The sequence below is a fragment of the Homo sapiens genome, chromosome 15, assembly GCF_000001405.40.
Source record: "Homo sapiens chromosome 15, GRCh38.p14 Primary Assembly".
Taxonomy (NCBI): Eukaryota; Metazoa; Chordata; class Mammalia; order Primates; family Hominidae; genus Homo; species Homo sapiens.
The window spans coordinates 20,343,338-20,358,349 of record NC_000015.10 but is presented as its reverse complement, the minus strand read 5'-3'; the positions used below and the strand labels follow the sequence as shown (position 1 = coordinate 20,358,349).

The 15,012-nt window shown below is 56.5% G+C and overlaps 1 pseudogene; it reads left to right on the top strand.

Moving 5' to 3' along the window:
- Nucleotides 1–6,168: 6,168 nt before the first annotated feature.
- Nucleotides 6,169–6,264, top strand: LOC124903613 (uncharacterized; annotated as a pseudogene).
- Nucleotides 6,265–15,012: the final 8,748 nt, after the last annotated feature.

Sequence of the window (15,012 nt, the reverse complement as noted above, 5' to 3'; positions counted from 1 at the left end):
AGGGGACAGAGCTGGAGCCAGGGCCCAGACCTCTGCTGCTTTGGGCCCGCCCCATCTGGCACCTCCAGGAGAAGGGGGCAGCAAGAGCTTGGCCAGGGCAGGGGCACTCCAGGGCAGCCGAAGGGCCTCGCCAGCTGTCTCATGATGAGATGAGCAGAGGGAGAGGGAGGAGAGGAAGGGAGAGGAAGGGAGAGGCTCTGGGAGGACAAGGGCCCCTCCCCTCCTCCTCCCCTCTTCCTCCCCTGCCCATGTGGCCTGGGCGGGAGGGACACGCGGATGGGAACATCCCAGCTGGTCCAGGCCTCTGCTCCCCCCAGCTCCTCCTCCTTGGCTGGCAGCTCTTCTGGGCTCCTGAGGTGCTGCGCAGCCCCTTCCCTGGCCCTGGGACACCCAGTGCCTGAGATGAAAGAGGAGTTGCTTCCATGGAGGGTCCCAGTGCAGGCCGGGGGGCGCTGGCCCTCAGGACACCAGGCCCCCAAGACATAGGGACACCAGAAGCCCCCGATCTGCCTCCAAGGTCCAGCAGCCCCAAAGCCCCTGCTCAGAAGCCAGCGATGGGAGGGCAGGGCCTGCCTGTGGGACCCACCATGGGCGCAGCAATCGCCAGGCCCTGGGCAGACAGCAGCGCAGCCTGAGTCCAGGTCTGGGGCAAGTCGGCAAGTGCACCCCCAGAGGTGGAATGACAGGAGCTCCTGTGGAGGACGCAGGCGGCCCCCGCCCCTCACTCCACTGTGAGGCCTGAGGATGCACACGGGCAGCTCTCGCCGGCTTATGAAATGCCCCAACCCCGCTGCCTCTCTGGGTCCTCCTCATCCTGTGGCCTGCAGGGTCAGGAGCGTGACTTTGGTGCCAGGAGAGAGGCTGGCTCCTCCCTGTGGTGGGTGTTGGGGGGAGGAGTGGGGTTCATTATAAATTACACTCCCCTCGAACCTGGCTCTTAGGCGAGGGCAGGGCTGGGGTTCACCCTGCTCTCTGCAGGGGAGGGTCAGCCCCCAGGTATGCCTGGGTGGGTCTCCACGGCAGGCCAAGAGGGCAGGCCCTGGGCACGTCCACCCCCTCTCTCTGGTCCCACAGCTCCCCTACTCGCCACCTGCCCTGAGCAGCCCCCAGGAGAGCACACGCAGGGAGGATGCTGAGGGGCTGGAGGGCAGGAGTCCCGGCTGAGGCTGTGACCCCAGCTGTGCTCCCCGTTCCCTCTTAGGACCAGCCAAGACCCAAGGACAGGCGGCCAATCAGGGCCTGGCGTTTACCCCTCCTCCCCCACCCCCATCACGGGCCTCCCGTGGGACCCCCAGGAAGAGCAGCTTCCATTGACCGAGGTCAGGGGACACCCTCCCGCTGACACTCACTCTCCACGGATCCTGGAGCCCATGAGTCGCCTCCCCACCTCCACTGCACTGGACCCCCCGCAGGCCCTGGTGGGGGTGGCCACGGATAACCACACAAACATGCATTTTCCTTGTAGGAGCAGGCAGGTGACAACCAGTGTCCTACTTTCTTGCATTAAAACACCCAAATCAACAGGGCGAAGGCCCGGAGGAGGGGTCCTGAGGGAGCCAGCCGGGCGCTCAGCCTGCTTCGCTGGGATGCTTGTCGAGGTCGGGACCGCACTACCAAACTCACCTCTGTGCACCCTGCGGGGCCCAGGAAACTCGGTCCTCCCTGGGCTCCCCCAGGCCTGGGGTGGACGTTGGAATAAAGTGGGGACAACACGATGAGACCCCAGCCCTGGAGGTGCCCTCGGCAGAAGCCCGAGATCAAACCTGGGAGATTTGTGGCTGGACAGCACCACCTGGTGGACACATTGGAGATTACCAAAGCCGAACAGTCGATTCGTTCTTGGTTCTGGGATTTTCTTAATTGGGTCTTAGCTGGGGCTTCCTTTCCCTTTCCCCAGTAGCAGGGGCTTTGTGACTATCAGAAACACCTGCCAGGCCTGTGCAACATGGGGAGACCTCATCTCTGCAAAACACACACACACACACACACACACACACACACACACACACACACACACACACATATTAGTGAGGTGCGGTCGTCCCAGATATTCAGGACGCTGAGATGGGAGGATCGCTTGAACCCAGGAGGTCGAGGCTGCAGTGAGTCGTGATCATGCCACCGCACTCCAGTTAGGGTGACAGAGAGAGACCCTGTCTCTAAAGAAAGAGAAGAAAAGGCCGGGCACAGTAGCTCACGCCTGTAATCCTGACACTTTGGGAGGCTGAGGCAGGCGGATTACCTGAGGTCGGGAGTTCCAGACCAGCCTGACCAACATGGAGAAACCCCGTCTCTACTAAAAAATACAAAAGTTAGCCAGGTGTGGTGGCGGGCGCCTGTAATCCCAGGTACTTAGGAGGCTGAGGCAGGAGAACCGCTTGAACCGGGGAGGCAGAAGTTGCAGTGAGCCGAGATCACGCCATTGCACTCCAGCCTGGGCAACAAGAGTGAAACTCTGTCTCAAAAAAAAAAGAAAGAAAGAAAGAAAAGAGAAGAAGCCCTTGTCTTCTAATAAGATGGTGTTGGTTTTCAGAGAGCCCAATCCAGGCACTTCAAACAAGGCAGGGAAATCAATGGCCCTGAAGAAAGAGTTTCTCTTCAACAAGCCCCTCCGTCCCTGACACTGGCACCAAGGCATTCACCCAGCAGCCCCTCTGTCCCTGACACTGGCACCCTGGCATTCACCCACCAGCCCCTCCATCCCTGACACTGGCATTCTGGCATTCACCCACCAGCCCCTCCCCTCCCTGACACTGGCACCCCGGCATTCACCCACTGTCCGGGGCAACCAACCTTTCCTCCCACCACTGATGGGACAGCACCCTGGCCTACCACTTTTGAGGTGAAAAAAATTAGAAATCCCTGGCTAAAGAGGGGACAAATCGAGCCTAAAATCAAGCCTTGGTATCTTGCTTTTTAAATCTGCCTATACCTTTTGTGTATTGGTTGTGTAATTTTTTGTGTATTCATTGTGTGTAATTGCTGAATACACAATGAATACACAAAAGCTATAAATAGATTTAAAGAGAGAAACCAAACCAAAACCCATCGGTAGTCCACTGGAAAAACAAGGCTCCAACTCTCTATTCGGAACATTGTCAATTAAAAGAAAAGAATTAAGAATTTCCCTTTTAAACTATATTTCAGGGTAACTCAATAACTCTAGTGGACAACAGCAAGTTTTTTTGGGTTTTGTTTGGTTGGTTTCTTTTTTTTTGAGACGGAGTCTTGCTCTGTTGCCCAGGCTGGAGTGCAATGGCACAACCTCGGCTCACTGCAGCCTCTGCCTCGTGGGTTCAAGTGATTCTCCTGCCTCAGACTCCTGAGTAGCTGAGATTACAGGCGCCCACAACCAGGCCCTGCTAATTTTTTGTATTTTTAGTAGAGATGGGGTTTCACCATGTTGGCCAGGCTGGTCTCAAACTCCTGACCTCAGGTGATCCACCCACCTCGGCCTCTCAAAGTGGTGGGATTACAGGTGTAAGCCACCACACCCAGCCTGTTTGTTTTATTTAAGAGACAGGGTCTCGCTGCATCACCCAGGCTGAAGTGCAGTGGTGTAATCACAGCCCGCTGCAGCCTTAACTTCTTGGGCTCAAAGGATCCTTCTGCCTTAGCCCCTGAGTAGCTAAGACTACAGGCACGCACCACCATACCTGGCTAATGTTTTATGTTTTTGTAGAGATGGGGTCTTGTTGCCCAGGCTGGATTCAAGCTCCTGGCCTCTCTCACCTTGGCCCACAAAAGCTCTGGGATTACAAGTGTGAGCCACTGTGCCCAGCCATTTTTGTTGTTGTTGTTTTTGATAGAAGAATTTCAGCTACTCATTGTGAAGAGATGAGATCATGAGAGAAACCACAATTTTGCCACCTCTCATGACATAATTATTTCTCGCAAGGGTCATGGATGAGATCAGTAATGACAAAACAAGGGCATCACAGGGTGGGTTCAGGCTATGACCACCTGGACCTACTGGCCACACTTAGCATCACAGGGTGGGTTCGGGCTGTGGCCACTTGGACCCACGGGGCACACTTAGCATTACAGGGTAGGTCAGGGCTATGGCCACCTGGACCCACTGGGCACACTTTGCATCACAGGGTGGGTTCGGGCTCTGGCCACCTGGACCCACGGGGCACACTTAGCATCACAGGTGCTTCCATGTGGCTCTCACAGCTCTGCCCACGAAGGCTTCTGGCAAAGAAAGATGAGCCTGAATCTAAGGGCATTTCTGCAGCACAGCTTCCATTTGCAGGAGACATGGGGCGAGGCGACACCACAGAGAGGCAAACAGCTGCGTGATAGGCGACACATTTGCAGGACAGCTGATCTGGTTTCTGCAACAAATCACAAGTGGTGGGAGGAGCAGTGGGGGTCAGGGGCGGCGCCTGATCTAGAGTAAGAGAGGTTCAAGAGGCGCCACCACAAAACTGAAACTGTGGGCCTTGTTAGGAACCTATGTGTTCCATCTGATGGATGTAAGCAAACAATCAGGGGAATGTGATTCCGGATGGGGCCTGAGCAGGTGCCAAGGAATGACTGTTAATTTGAACATTGCCCTAAGGGAGCCGCAAGTGTGTTCCAGAGTTTCCCATACTTGGCGCCTTGCAACCTGAAGTTCATAGGAACAAAATTTCAGAACATTTGCTACAGGATGGAAGATGCTTCAGCCAAAGGGGAAAAGGAAAGAGAAAGACAACAGCAATGCATGAAACAAGTGTGGCAATTATCGATAAAGCATGTGTGGTGATCACTGATCACATGTGTGAGTTTATTTGAAAAGTTACATTAAAAAATTTTGAGGCTAGGCACGGTGACTCACGCCTGTAATCCCAGCACTTTGGGAGGCCGAGGCGAGCAGATCACCTGAGGTCAGGAGTTCAAGATCTGCCTGGCCAACGTCGTAAAACCACATCTCTACTAAAAATAAAAATAAGTGCAAAATAAGCCGGATGTGGTGGCAGGCGCCATAATCCCAGCTACTCAGGAGGCTGAAGCAGGAGAATTGCTTGAACCTGGAAGGCGGAGGTTTCAGTGAGTCAAGACGGCACCATTGTACTCCAGCCTGGGCAAAAAGAGTGAAACTGTGACTCAAAAAAAAAAATTTTTTTTTTGAAAAGAGACTAGGCATGCTGGCTCATGCCTGTAATCCCAGAACTTTGGGATATCAAGGCAGGAGGATTGCCTGAGGCCAGGAGTTCGAGACCAGCCTGGGCAACATGGTGAGACCCTCGTCTCTTAAAAAAAAAAAAAAAATTGCCTCCCAAGACACATGCCTGTAGTCCCAGCTACTTGGGAGGCCTAGGAGAGAGGATTGCTTGAGGCTGGAACGTTGAGGCTGCAGTGGGCTATGATCAACCCACTGCACTCCAGCCCGGGTGACAGAGCAAGACTCTGTCTCAAAAAATAAATAAACAAAAATAAAGAAAGACATAGCCTTTCTCTTACAGACATGGTCAGGCATCATGGAAATCTTATTGCAGAAGTTGCTCGCCCTTCACCCCTAAGCCTCACCTCTCTGTTTCAGGGGATCCGAGTTTGGGGAAGGAAAGTCTATGGGGCCATCATTTCTCCCTTGTGGCTCCTGCGCCCGCAGCCATGGGCCCCTCACACTGGGGCTGGGTGCCTGAGCAGAGTCCCTGTCCAGCCCCCACCAAGCTCCAGCATCCTGGACACCTCATGCCATCCCTCCTGGACTTTGTGCTGGGGATGAGGTCAATTTGAGAGCCTCCCTGAGGTCTGGTCACTCCTGCACACCCTCCACAGTGGGCAGAATGGTGCCCCCCAAAAGGCCCACATCCTAATCCCGGGACTGTGAATGGGCTACTTTTCATGGCAAAAGGGACATTGCCAGTGTGACCGAGGGTCCTGCGATGGGAGGCTCCCCGGCATCATGCAGGTGAACCCAGTGGCATGACAAGGGCCCCTGTGAGCGAGAGGCGGGGGTGAGAGCAGACCTGGTGCAAAAGCAGTGGGTGTGGTGATGCCCCAGCCTGGGACTGAGGCCCAGAACGTGGTGGCCTTCAGAAGCCGGGAAAGGCCAGGAGATGCATCTGCCCCCAGCCTCCAGAAGGAGCCAGCCCTGCTGACACCGTGGCTTTAGCCCAGTGCGGCCCCGTGGGACTTCTGACCCCCAGAACTCTAAAATAATAAATTGGCATTGTTTTGATCCTTCTGTGGCTGATATGTGTGATGAGGGGGTTTTCACACTCTTGCGTGGGACGTGCAACCTCTTTAGAACAGTGGCACATTACCTGTCCTACATGGGGGAAAAAAGAGGAAAAAATAAATACATTTGCATTGTTTTAGACCACTAAGTTTGTGGTCACGTGTAACAGCAGGAACAGCAAACAGATGTGCCCTCCGAGGCTCCCCTACATGCCTGCGAAGCTTGGGGACGCTGGGGAGGGTCACCTTGGCCATCTGGGGGCAGGTGGTACATCAAGACCCTCCCTCCCTCATCACCACCCTTCCTCCCCCATCACCATCCTCAATGGCACGGGGGCAACCCATGGTGAAGCAGCCGGACAGGCAGACTGTGCTAATTCCCTGCAAGGCAGAGCTGTTCCTCCAGCTTTGGAATGCAGCCAGCCCCTGCATGGCAGCCTCAAGGGGACAGGACCGCCCCCCCCATGCTCTCTCTTTCCCCTGGCCCCGACCCTGCCCCTCTGCTCCCTGCCCCCCAGCCCCACTGCCTTGGGCCTCCCTTGAGCTCCCAGGACAGGTCAGCAAATTGCTATGTGTGCATGTTTTCTAGGGAGAGTCCACAACCATGGTCAGAGTCCCTCGAGTCCAAAAAGAGACAGAGCCACAGCCTCAAGCGGCTCCTTGGGCCCCGGGTTCTGAGCTGGAATTGGATTCCCTGAGCCAGCTCTTAGTCCATGGTGACAGGCATCTGCTGATGTAGCCTCCTCCTATCTTCCCCAGAAACCAGATTAGACGCGGCCAGCAAAAAGAATATTCTCAGCTGGCAAAACGCTTTCACCGGCCACCAAAGGCCCCCTGTCCCTCCAGCCCACGGAGGGCACGGCGCCTCCTCATCCAAATGGGCTCTGGGCCCTGTGCCCCACATTCCTGGAGTGAGCCTAGACCTTGCGCTGCGTCCATCGTCTGGGAGCATTGTGGGGTGTGGGTTTCCCCCCACATCCAGACCCTTGAGTCCTCAGGAGCAAGGACTGGCCTCTCTGGTTTCCCTTCACACAGCAGGTGCTGAATCAATGCCCGGGAACCGAGGCGTCCTGTGAGGCGACAGAGGCTGAGCTGGAGAAGGCTCACCTGAGACCTGCACAGATTCAGGCGTTATCGCTGCCAAGGCCCAGCAAAGGAAGCGAGGCTGCCGTGGACACAACTCATGGCTCAAACTGGGGCGGCCTGAATGTTCCTTTGTGGGTCCCCAGGGCTGGTGGAGGGGGGTCTATTCTCTTCCCCCTGATCTTTCAGCAGGTCCTGGCTCACCAGGGCTCAGCCCCACCCTCCAACGCACCAGGTGTCACTGGGCACCTGCTCAGTGGAGCCTGTTGCTGTTCAGAGACTGAAAGTGGTGATGGTGAGGCCAACACCGATGGCCATGGGACCAACATCAAGGTGAGGAAACCATCAAGGACTGCACCAGAGGGATACCCCTCCTTGACACACACACACACACACACACACACACACACACACACACACACACACACACACGAGATCCTGTCCCCTGATGGGGTAAGTAAGGGGGAGCAGGCCCTGCAGTGACCTGTTGGCCATCTCTTATCCACCCGACATGGCCAAAGGTAGCCACGTTATCTCCCATTGCATGTCCTCTCCTCTGTATCAGGACACAGTAGACATCCAGGTGCCTATAAAATAGACGTTTTTGGAGATAAGAGGCCCTTTGCAGCCTCTCTGGAAAGACTCTGTGAGAACAGTCCTGGTGAATGGAGAAGCCCTTAGCCACATGGTGTCAGGGGCCCCACCGCACCTCTGGCCTTTGGACAAAGTCAGCACCAGCCACTCCCACCCCACCCACCACTTTCATGCGTTCTGCAGCTGCCACTCCCTGCCCGCCAGGGTGACCAGATGCTGGCCGGAGCCAGGGCAGGGGCGGGCACTCTTCAGCATTTCCACAGGAAACCCCAGACCCTGTTCCCGCAGCCTGGCCCTCAGACAACTGCTCCCACTCTCCCCCTGCCCATGGGAGCTCAGCCTCTGGGGCAAGAGGGGACCCTGTTTACACCAATGCACCTAGGAAAAACCTTGGGGAAAATTCCAGGCCTGAGTCCTGAGTGTCCCCAGAGTCCACAGCTGGTGGCAGAGGGCCAAGAAGATAGTGACAATGAGGATTTATACCCCAGCAATGAGGGGACAGTGACAAGGCAGCTTCTCTGCAGGTCCACACAGGAAAAGAAACCCACAGCACGGCTCCGTGCAGCAGGGGCTCTGAGTGACACTCGCAAGGCCGTGGCATCAGGCAGGGGACCCCCCCACCGCGGAGGGCATGGCTCAGCAGAAGCCAGGAGAGGGTGGGTCCTGGGATCCCAACCCAAAGCAGGCAGTCAGGAACTGAGTGACCACGGGTACCCTGGGGGTACAGGTAGGAGGGAGGAGAGTGTCTCCGAGGCCCCCTTGCCAACCCTCAATGCCAAGTCCAGCAAAGGTGGTTTTCTGGCACCAACTAGCAGGCACTGATCCCCCTCATATCCCCAACTCATGACCCAGCCACCTTTCCCAGGGGCTGAGTGGCTCTGAACAGGGGTGGAGCCGTGGGGCAGTCTGGGGCTGACACCCAGGAGGCGTTGGGGGAGGCGCCCACTCAGGCCCTCGCTGCCCCGGGGAAAGGCCACTGCAGGCAAAGCACGCTGACACCAGAGCCTTCGGCAGAGGAGGGGGAAATTGTTTATGTCTTGCGCTCCTTCTTACCGTGGGCCTCCTGGGGGCTCCTGGCCCTGGGTGAGCAGGACGGACCCGGACCCGAGATGCCTCAGAGGGAAGCTTCTTGGGCAGGAGGACAGCACAGGCCATGGAGTCCCAGGGGGAGGGGGAGGGCTGTCCCACTGGGCCCCAGTGGGTCCTCTGCAGCAGGACAGTCTAGCCTGCCCCTGGCCATGCTGAGCCACATGGCTCTCCTCTCCGAGACCCTGTGGTGACAGGCAAGGGCACAGGGGTGGTGGGGCAGAGGCACTGTTGAAAAACCTGCCCAAGGGCCTGCCCTTGGCATCTCCTGGACCCACCCTCATCTTCCCTGAGGCTGTCCGAGTGCTTTCCCGGGTAGTCTGTCCTCAGTGGGAATGCCGCAAGCCTCCTCCTTGTGCCTGGCACAGCCCTACATGCTGGGGGAGGGGACACTAATGATCATCCCCAGCTCACAGGCACAGGAGGGAGGCCTGGGGCAGGGGTAGCCCAGGGTCGTGGCTGAGCCACTGAGAAAAGCTCAGATCCCCAACCCCCTCAGCTCTTCCTCCCCCAGGTTCCTAACCACGGCCCGACCTCCCTGGTCCAGTGAACGTCCCACTCCGCATTGTGTGCTACCCACTGGGTTCCTCCAAGGTTCTCAGAGTCCAAGCCTGGTGATCACCAACAAAAATCTCTGCAAACAGCAGATTCCTACACAGATGGCCCTGCCTTATTAGGATGGCTCCACCGACGGGCCCCGACTCCACGATGGTAAGAATGTGGCCAGAACTCAGTAGCAACGGCACTTAAGTCCCACACAACCATGTTCACTTTCAGTACAGTATTCGACAAATTGCACAAGAAAATCAACACCTGATTAGAAAACTAGCTTCATGAGCTGGGGACAGTGGTTCACGCCTGTAATCCCAGCATTTTAGGAGACCAAAGCAGGAGGATGGCTTGAGCCCAGGAGTTCAAGACCAGCCTTGGCAACATGGCGAGACCCCATTTCTACAAAACATAACAAACCTTTTTTTAAATTAGCCAGGCGTGGTGGCACATACCTGTTGTCCCAGCTTCTTGGGTTGCTGAGGTAGGAGGATCATTTAAGCCCAGGGGTTTGAAGCTGCAGTGAGCTATAATCACACCACTGCACTCTAGCCTGGGCAGCAGAGTGAGAGTCTGCCTGAAAAAAAAAAAAAAAAAAAAAAAAAAGCTTTGTGTGAGCTGATTTTGCCTACCTAGAGGCTAATGGGAGTGTCTTGAGCACATCTGAGGTCAGCTGGGCTGAGCTGGCAGGCGGTTAGGCATACTAAATGCCTTTTTTTTTTTTTTTTTTTTTTTGTGATACAGTCTCACTATGTTGCCCAGGCTGGAGTGCAGTGGTGCCATCTCGGCTCACTGCAACCTCCGCCTCCTGGGTTCAAGTGATTCTTCTGCCTCAGCCTCACGAGTAGCTGGGACTACAGGCGCCTGCCATCATGCCCAGCTAATTTTTGTATTTTTAGTAGAGACAGGGTTTCACCATATTGGTCAGGCTGGTCTCGAACTCCTGGCCTCAGGTGATCCACCCTCCTCAGCCTCCCAAAATGCTGGGATTACAGGCATGAGCCACCACGCCTGGCCTGTTGCCACATTTTTGCTTTTGTGAATAAGCTGCTATGAACACCTGTGTGCAAGTATCTCTTTGAGACCCTGCTTCCAGTTCTCTTGGGCGTATACCCAGGAGTGGTATACATGAACAAATAAACAAGGGACACGCCAGGCATGCCTGTAATCCCAACATTTTGAGAGGCTGAGGCAGGAGGATCCCTTGAACCTAGGAGTACAAGACCAGCCTGAGCAACATAGGGAGACCCTGTCTCTACGAATACATTTTAAAAATTAGCTGGGCGTGGTGGTACACACCTGTGGTCTCAGCTACTCAGGAGGCTGAGATGGGAGGATGGCTTGAGCCCAGGAGGTCGAGGCTACACAGTGAGCCACGATCTCACCACTGTACTCCAGCCTGGGTGACAGAGTGAGATCCTGTCTCAAAAAATAAATGTAAAAAAAACACAGGACAGGCCGGGCACGGTGGCTCATGCCTGTAATCCCAGCAATTTGGGAGGCCGAGGCGGGTGGATCATGAGATCAGGAGATTGTGACCATCGGCTAACACGGTGAAGCCCCATCTCTACTAAAAATACAAAAAATTAGCCGAGTGTGGTGGCAGGCATCTATAGTGCCAGCTGCTCAGGAGGCTGAGGCAGGAGAATGGTGTGAACCCGGGAGGTGGAGCTGGCAGTGAGCCAAGATCATGCCACTGCACTCTAGCCTGGGCGACTGAGTGAGACTCCATCTCAAGAAACAAAAACAAACAACCAGGACACAGGATGGTCACAGAGGGGCATAGACTCACACCCGGAATTTCTAGGTGTGAGCACAGAGGCTCCTAGAGAGGAGGAAGGTGGGTCGTCAAGCATATGGGTATTTTATGGGTTGAAGCGTGGTCCCCCCAAAAGATATGACCCTGTCCTAATTCCCAGAATGTGTGAATACGGCCTTTTTTGGATGGAGGGCCTTTGCAGATGGAATTAAGTGAAGGATGAGGAGATGAGGTCATTCTGGGTTATTCAGGCAGGCCCTACATCCAAGGGCTGGTGTCCTTATAGGAGTCATAGGGACAGACACAGAGAAGGCCTCTTGAGAATGGTGGCTGAGCAGGAGGGATGCAGCCACAAGCCAAGGATGCCCAGGCCACCAGAATGCATGACTGCTGCTTGAAGCCACTCAGTTTGTGGTCATTCATTACATCAGCTAAGCCAGGTCTGCACATACCTGCAGAGCAGGAACTCTGGAGGAGAAGCCAGACCCGAAAAGGGACAGTTTCCCCTCTGGCCAGGACCTCACCCCATCAACCCAGCTGCCCACGAGGCTGCTGGGCCAACATCCCAGGCCTACAGCTGCCAGCCTGCCCTGGGCTCAGCCAAGGGAAGAGGGAGCTGTGAACAAGTCAGCCCTGGGCCCCTTCAGGGAGCCAATGACCTCCTCCCTTCCTCCCTCATGCATTCATCCCTTCATTTGTTCATTCAGCCATCCATTCATCACTCCTTCCATAAACAGGCTTGGCACCTCCCACGCGCCTAGATATGAATGCAGTATCAATATGTCCCTTTCAGGGGCCCACAGCAGGCAGGTAAGCACACCCACAAATTCATAACTCCAGAGGGGACAGGAGGCCCAACAGAAGAATCACAAGAGAAGCCACAAGGGCCTCAGCTCTGCCTGGGGCAACAGGGAGAAGCCCCCTAGACTGGTGTCTGGAGGCCCACCCTGGACTGACACAGAGGCTTTCCTGATGGGCAAAGAAGGAGGCCTCCCTCTGGTTTGTGAAGGAGATGGTGGCATGGAGAGCTGGAGGTGGGATCCTGGGTTTTGTCCTCCAGGCGATAGACACAGGAGGGGTGAGAACAGGCTCACCTTTATCAAACTTTGGTGGAAAATTGAAATTGTGTTCCAGAAGGACCAAGAAAGTCTGATGCTGGCCATGTTCAGGCTGTGCTGCTCTGAGATACCGGGGCAGGTGGGCTTGGCAAGGTGGCCCCCATCCTCTCTCTCCCCATGTCCCCCTGATCCTGCTCCTGCTCCTGCTCCTGCTCCATCTCTCCCCACTCCCAGCTGCTCAGTGGCCAAGTCTGGTGTCCTTCAAGAAGTGGCTGAAACCTCTAAAGGAACTTCACCCTGCAGGGCAGGCCCTGCCCAAGGACATCACCACCCAGAGTCCAGGTCTGGCCCTCGCCACCCCACCCCCATCCCAGAGTCTGGAATGATGCAGCCCCCAGCTCCTGGGGCCCCCACATGTAGCCCCTGCTCCCAGCAAACCAGCAAGGGGGGCCTGGGGAGAGGGAGGGGCTAAGAGGGAGCGGAGCGCCTGGCCGTCCCCAGAGAGTACAGCTAACCCACAGCACATAATCCTGTTAAAAAATTAATCCTCATTTAGCCAGGAGGTAAGGCGGCCGCTGAGATAAAGCCCCTGAGAAGTAATAAAAGGCAACAGCAATTGGTAAAGTGGTGAGGCCACTCATAAAACCCTGCTGCAGTCAAGGTCAGGCAGGTCCCAGGAATCGGAGAGCAAGCACCGCCAGGTGGGGGTGGGGGGGGTTGCCTTACAAGCCCCAGCCCCTGCAGAGGGCGACCACCTTGGGCAACAGAGCTGATGCTGATGGTGGAGAGAGGCAGAAAGGAGGGAGGCTGCCTTTCTCAGCTCCTCCCTGCTCGGCCTTACTGGATGGCTGTGGCCCTTTGGGAAGGAATCACCATCCTTGGTCCTTGTCTCTCTCCTAACATCATGGCCGTGAAAGATCACAGCCCCCCTGGGGCCCAGCCGGTCCCAGAGTAGACCTGGTGAGGCTGGGCCCATCTAGCGTGGCTCCTGGTGGCCCCTGCTGTCCCCCACACACTTGTCCCAGGGATAGGAGGATGGAGAGCCCACCCCAGTCCCCACACCAGGGACTCACCTGGAATCCTCCCAGATGGCAGGTGTGGTCACCACTGCATCTGGCATCTGCCTGCTGGGGAAGACTCATTGCCATGTCGTCATGGGGACGTTCCACTCCAGCCAAATTGCATAATCAGGCCATTCCTCCTTCAGGGTCCCCAAAAGCCAATAATGGTCCCCAAAAAAGGGCACTGGACTGGAGGCAGGAGAGACCCATTGAGACCCAATATTGTCACCACTAGTCATGCTGGAAAATCGGGAGGGGGCTCGATGCCTCCGCTACTCCAACAGTGGCAACAACCCACAGCTGTAAGTGCCCAGCTTCCAAGCCCACACCCCTCACCAAGGCATCAAGGGCTCCCTGGAAGCACCAATCTGGGGCTGCACCTGGCCAGAGAAGGAAGAGTGTGGTGATTCCCATTACTGTATCACTCCAACTGCTGCCTGGAGACTAAGGAGAAGCAAGGAGACCAGTCAGAAGGCAGTTGCAATGGTCCTGACCATGCTAACTTCACCCATGTTTTCTTTCACTTATGCACTGAAGAATCATTTATTAAACACCTACTGTGTGTCAGGCATCAGACCAGGAGCTCGGGATACTGTGTTGCTCACAGCCTTCTCGGAGAGACACATAAACAATTGCAATAGAATTCCTTGCATCAGGTTATTAACGAGAACAGGAAGTTAGCGGCAAAGCTGACCTTGTGGAGGACAATGCCTGCCTTATGGCTCTCGGCCACCAGCTGAGACACCAGCAGGCCTGGGCAGGCCAACCCCTGGCCCAGAGGCTGGGTCCCTAGGGCCCGAGCCCCCTACATGGCTCATCTGCATGGGGCAATCTCTCCCTGTGCAAGCGTCAAATCCACCCGGTCCCCAGGCCAAGGACGCCTCTGGATCTGGCTGGCTGGCTTGGCTGGCTTGGCTGGCTGGCTGACTGGGTGGCTTGGCTGGCTTGGCTGGCTGGGTGGCTTGGTGGGCTTGGCTGGCTGGCTGGCTGGGTGGCTTGGCTGGCTTGGCTGGCTGGCTGGCTTGGCTGGTTGGCTCCCTGGGTGGCTTGGCTGGCTTGGCTGGCTTGGCTGGCTGGCTGGCTTCTGTGGTTTAGCCAAATGGCTGGCTTGGTCGGCTGGCTGGCTTGGCTGGCTTGGCTAGCTGGGTGGCTGGCTGCCTTGGCTGGCTGCGTGGCTTGGCTAGCTTGGCTGGCTGGGTGGCTTGGCTGGCTTGGCTGGCTGGGTGGCTTGGCTGGCTGGGTGGCTTGGCTGGCTTGGCTGGCTGGCTGGCTTGTGTGGCTTGGCTGGCTGGCTGGCTTGGGTGGCTTGGCTGGCTGGCTGGCTTGGGTGGCTTGGCTGGCTGGCTGGCTGGCTTGGGTGGCTTGGCTGGCTGGCTGGCTTGGGTGGCTTGGTTGGCTGGCTGGCTGGCTGGCTTGGCTTGGTGGCTGGCTTGGTTGCCTTTGGCTGGCTGGCTGGTTTGGCTGGTTTGGCTGGCTTGGCTGGCTGGCTGGCTTGGCTGGCTGGGCTGGCTTGGCTTGCCGGGTGGCTTGGCTGGCTTGGCTCGCCGGGTGGCTTGGCTGGCTTGGCTGGCTTCATTGGCGGGCTGGCTTAGCTGGCTTGGCTGGCTTGGCTGACTTGGCTGGCTTGGTTGGCTGGCTGGCTTGGCTGGCTTGG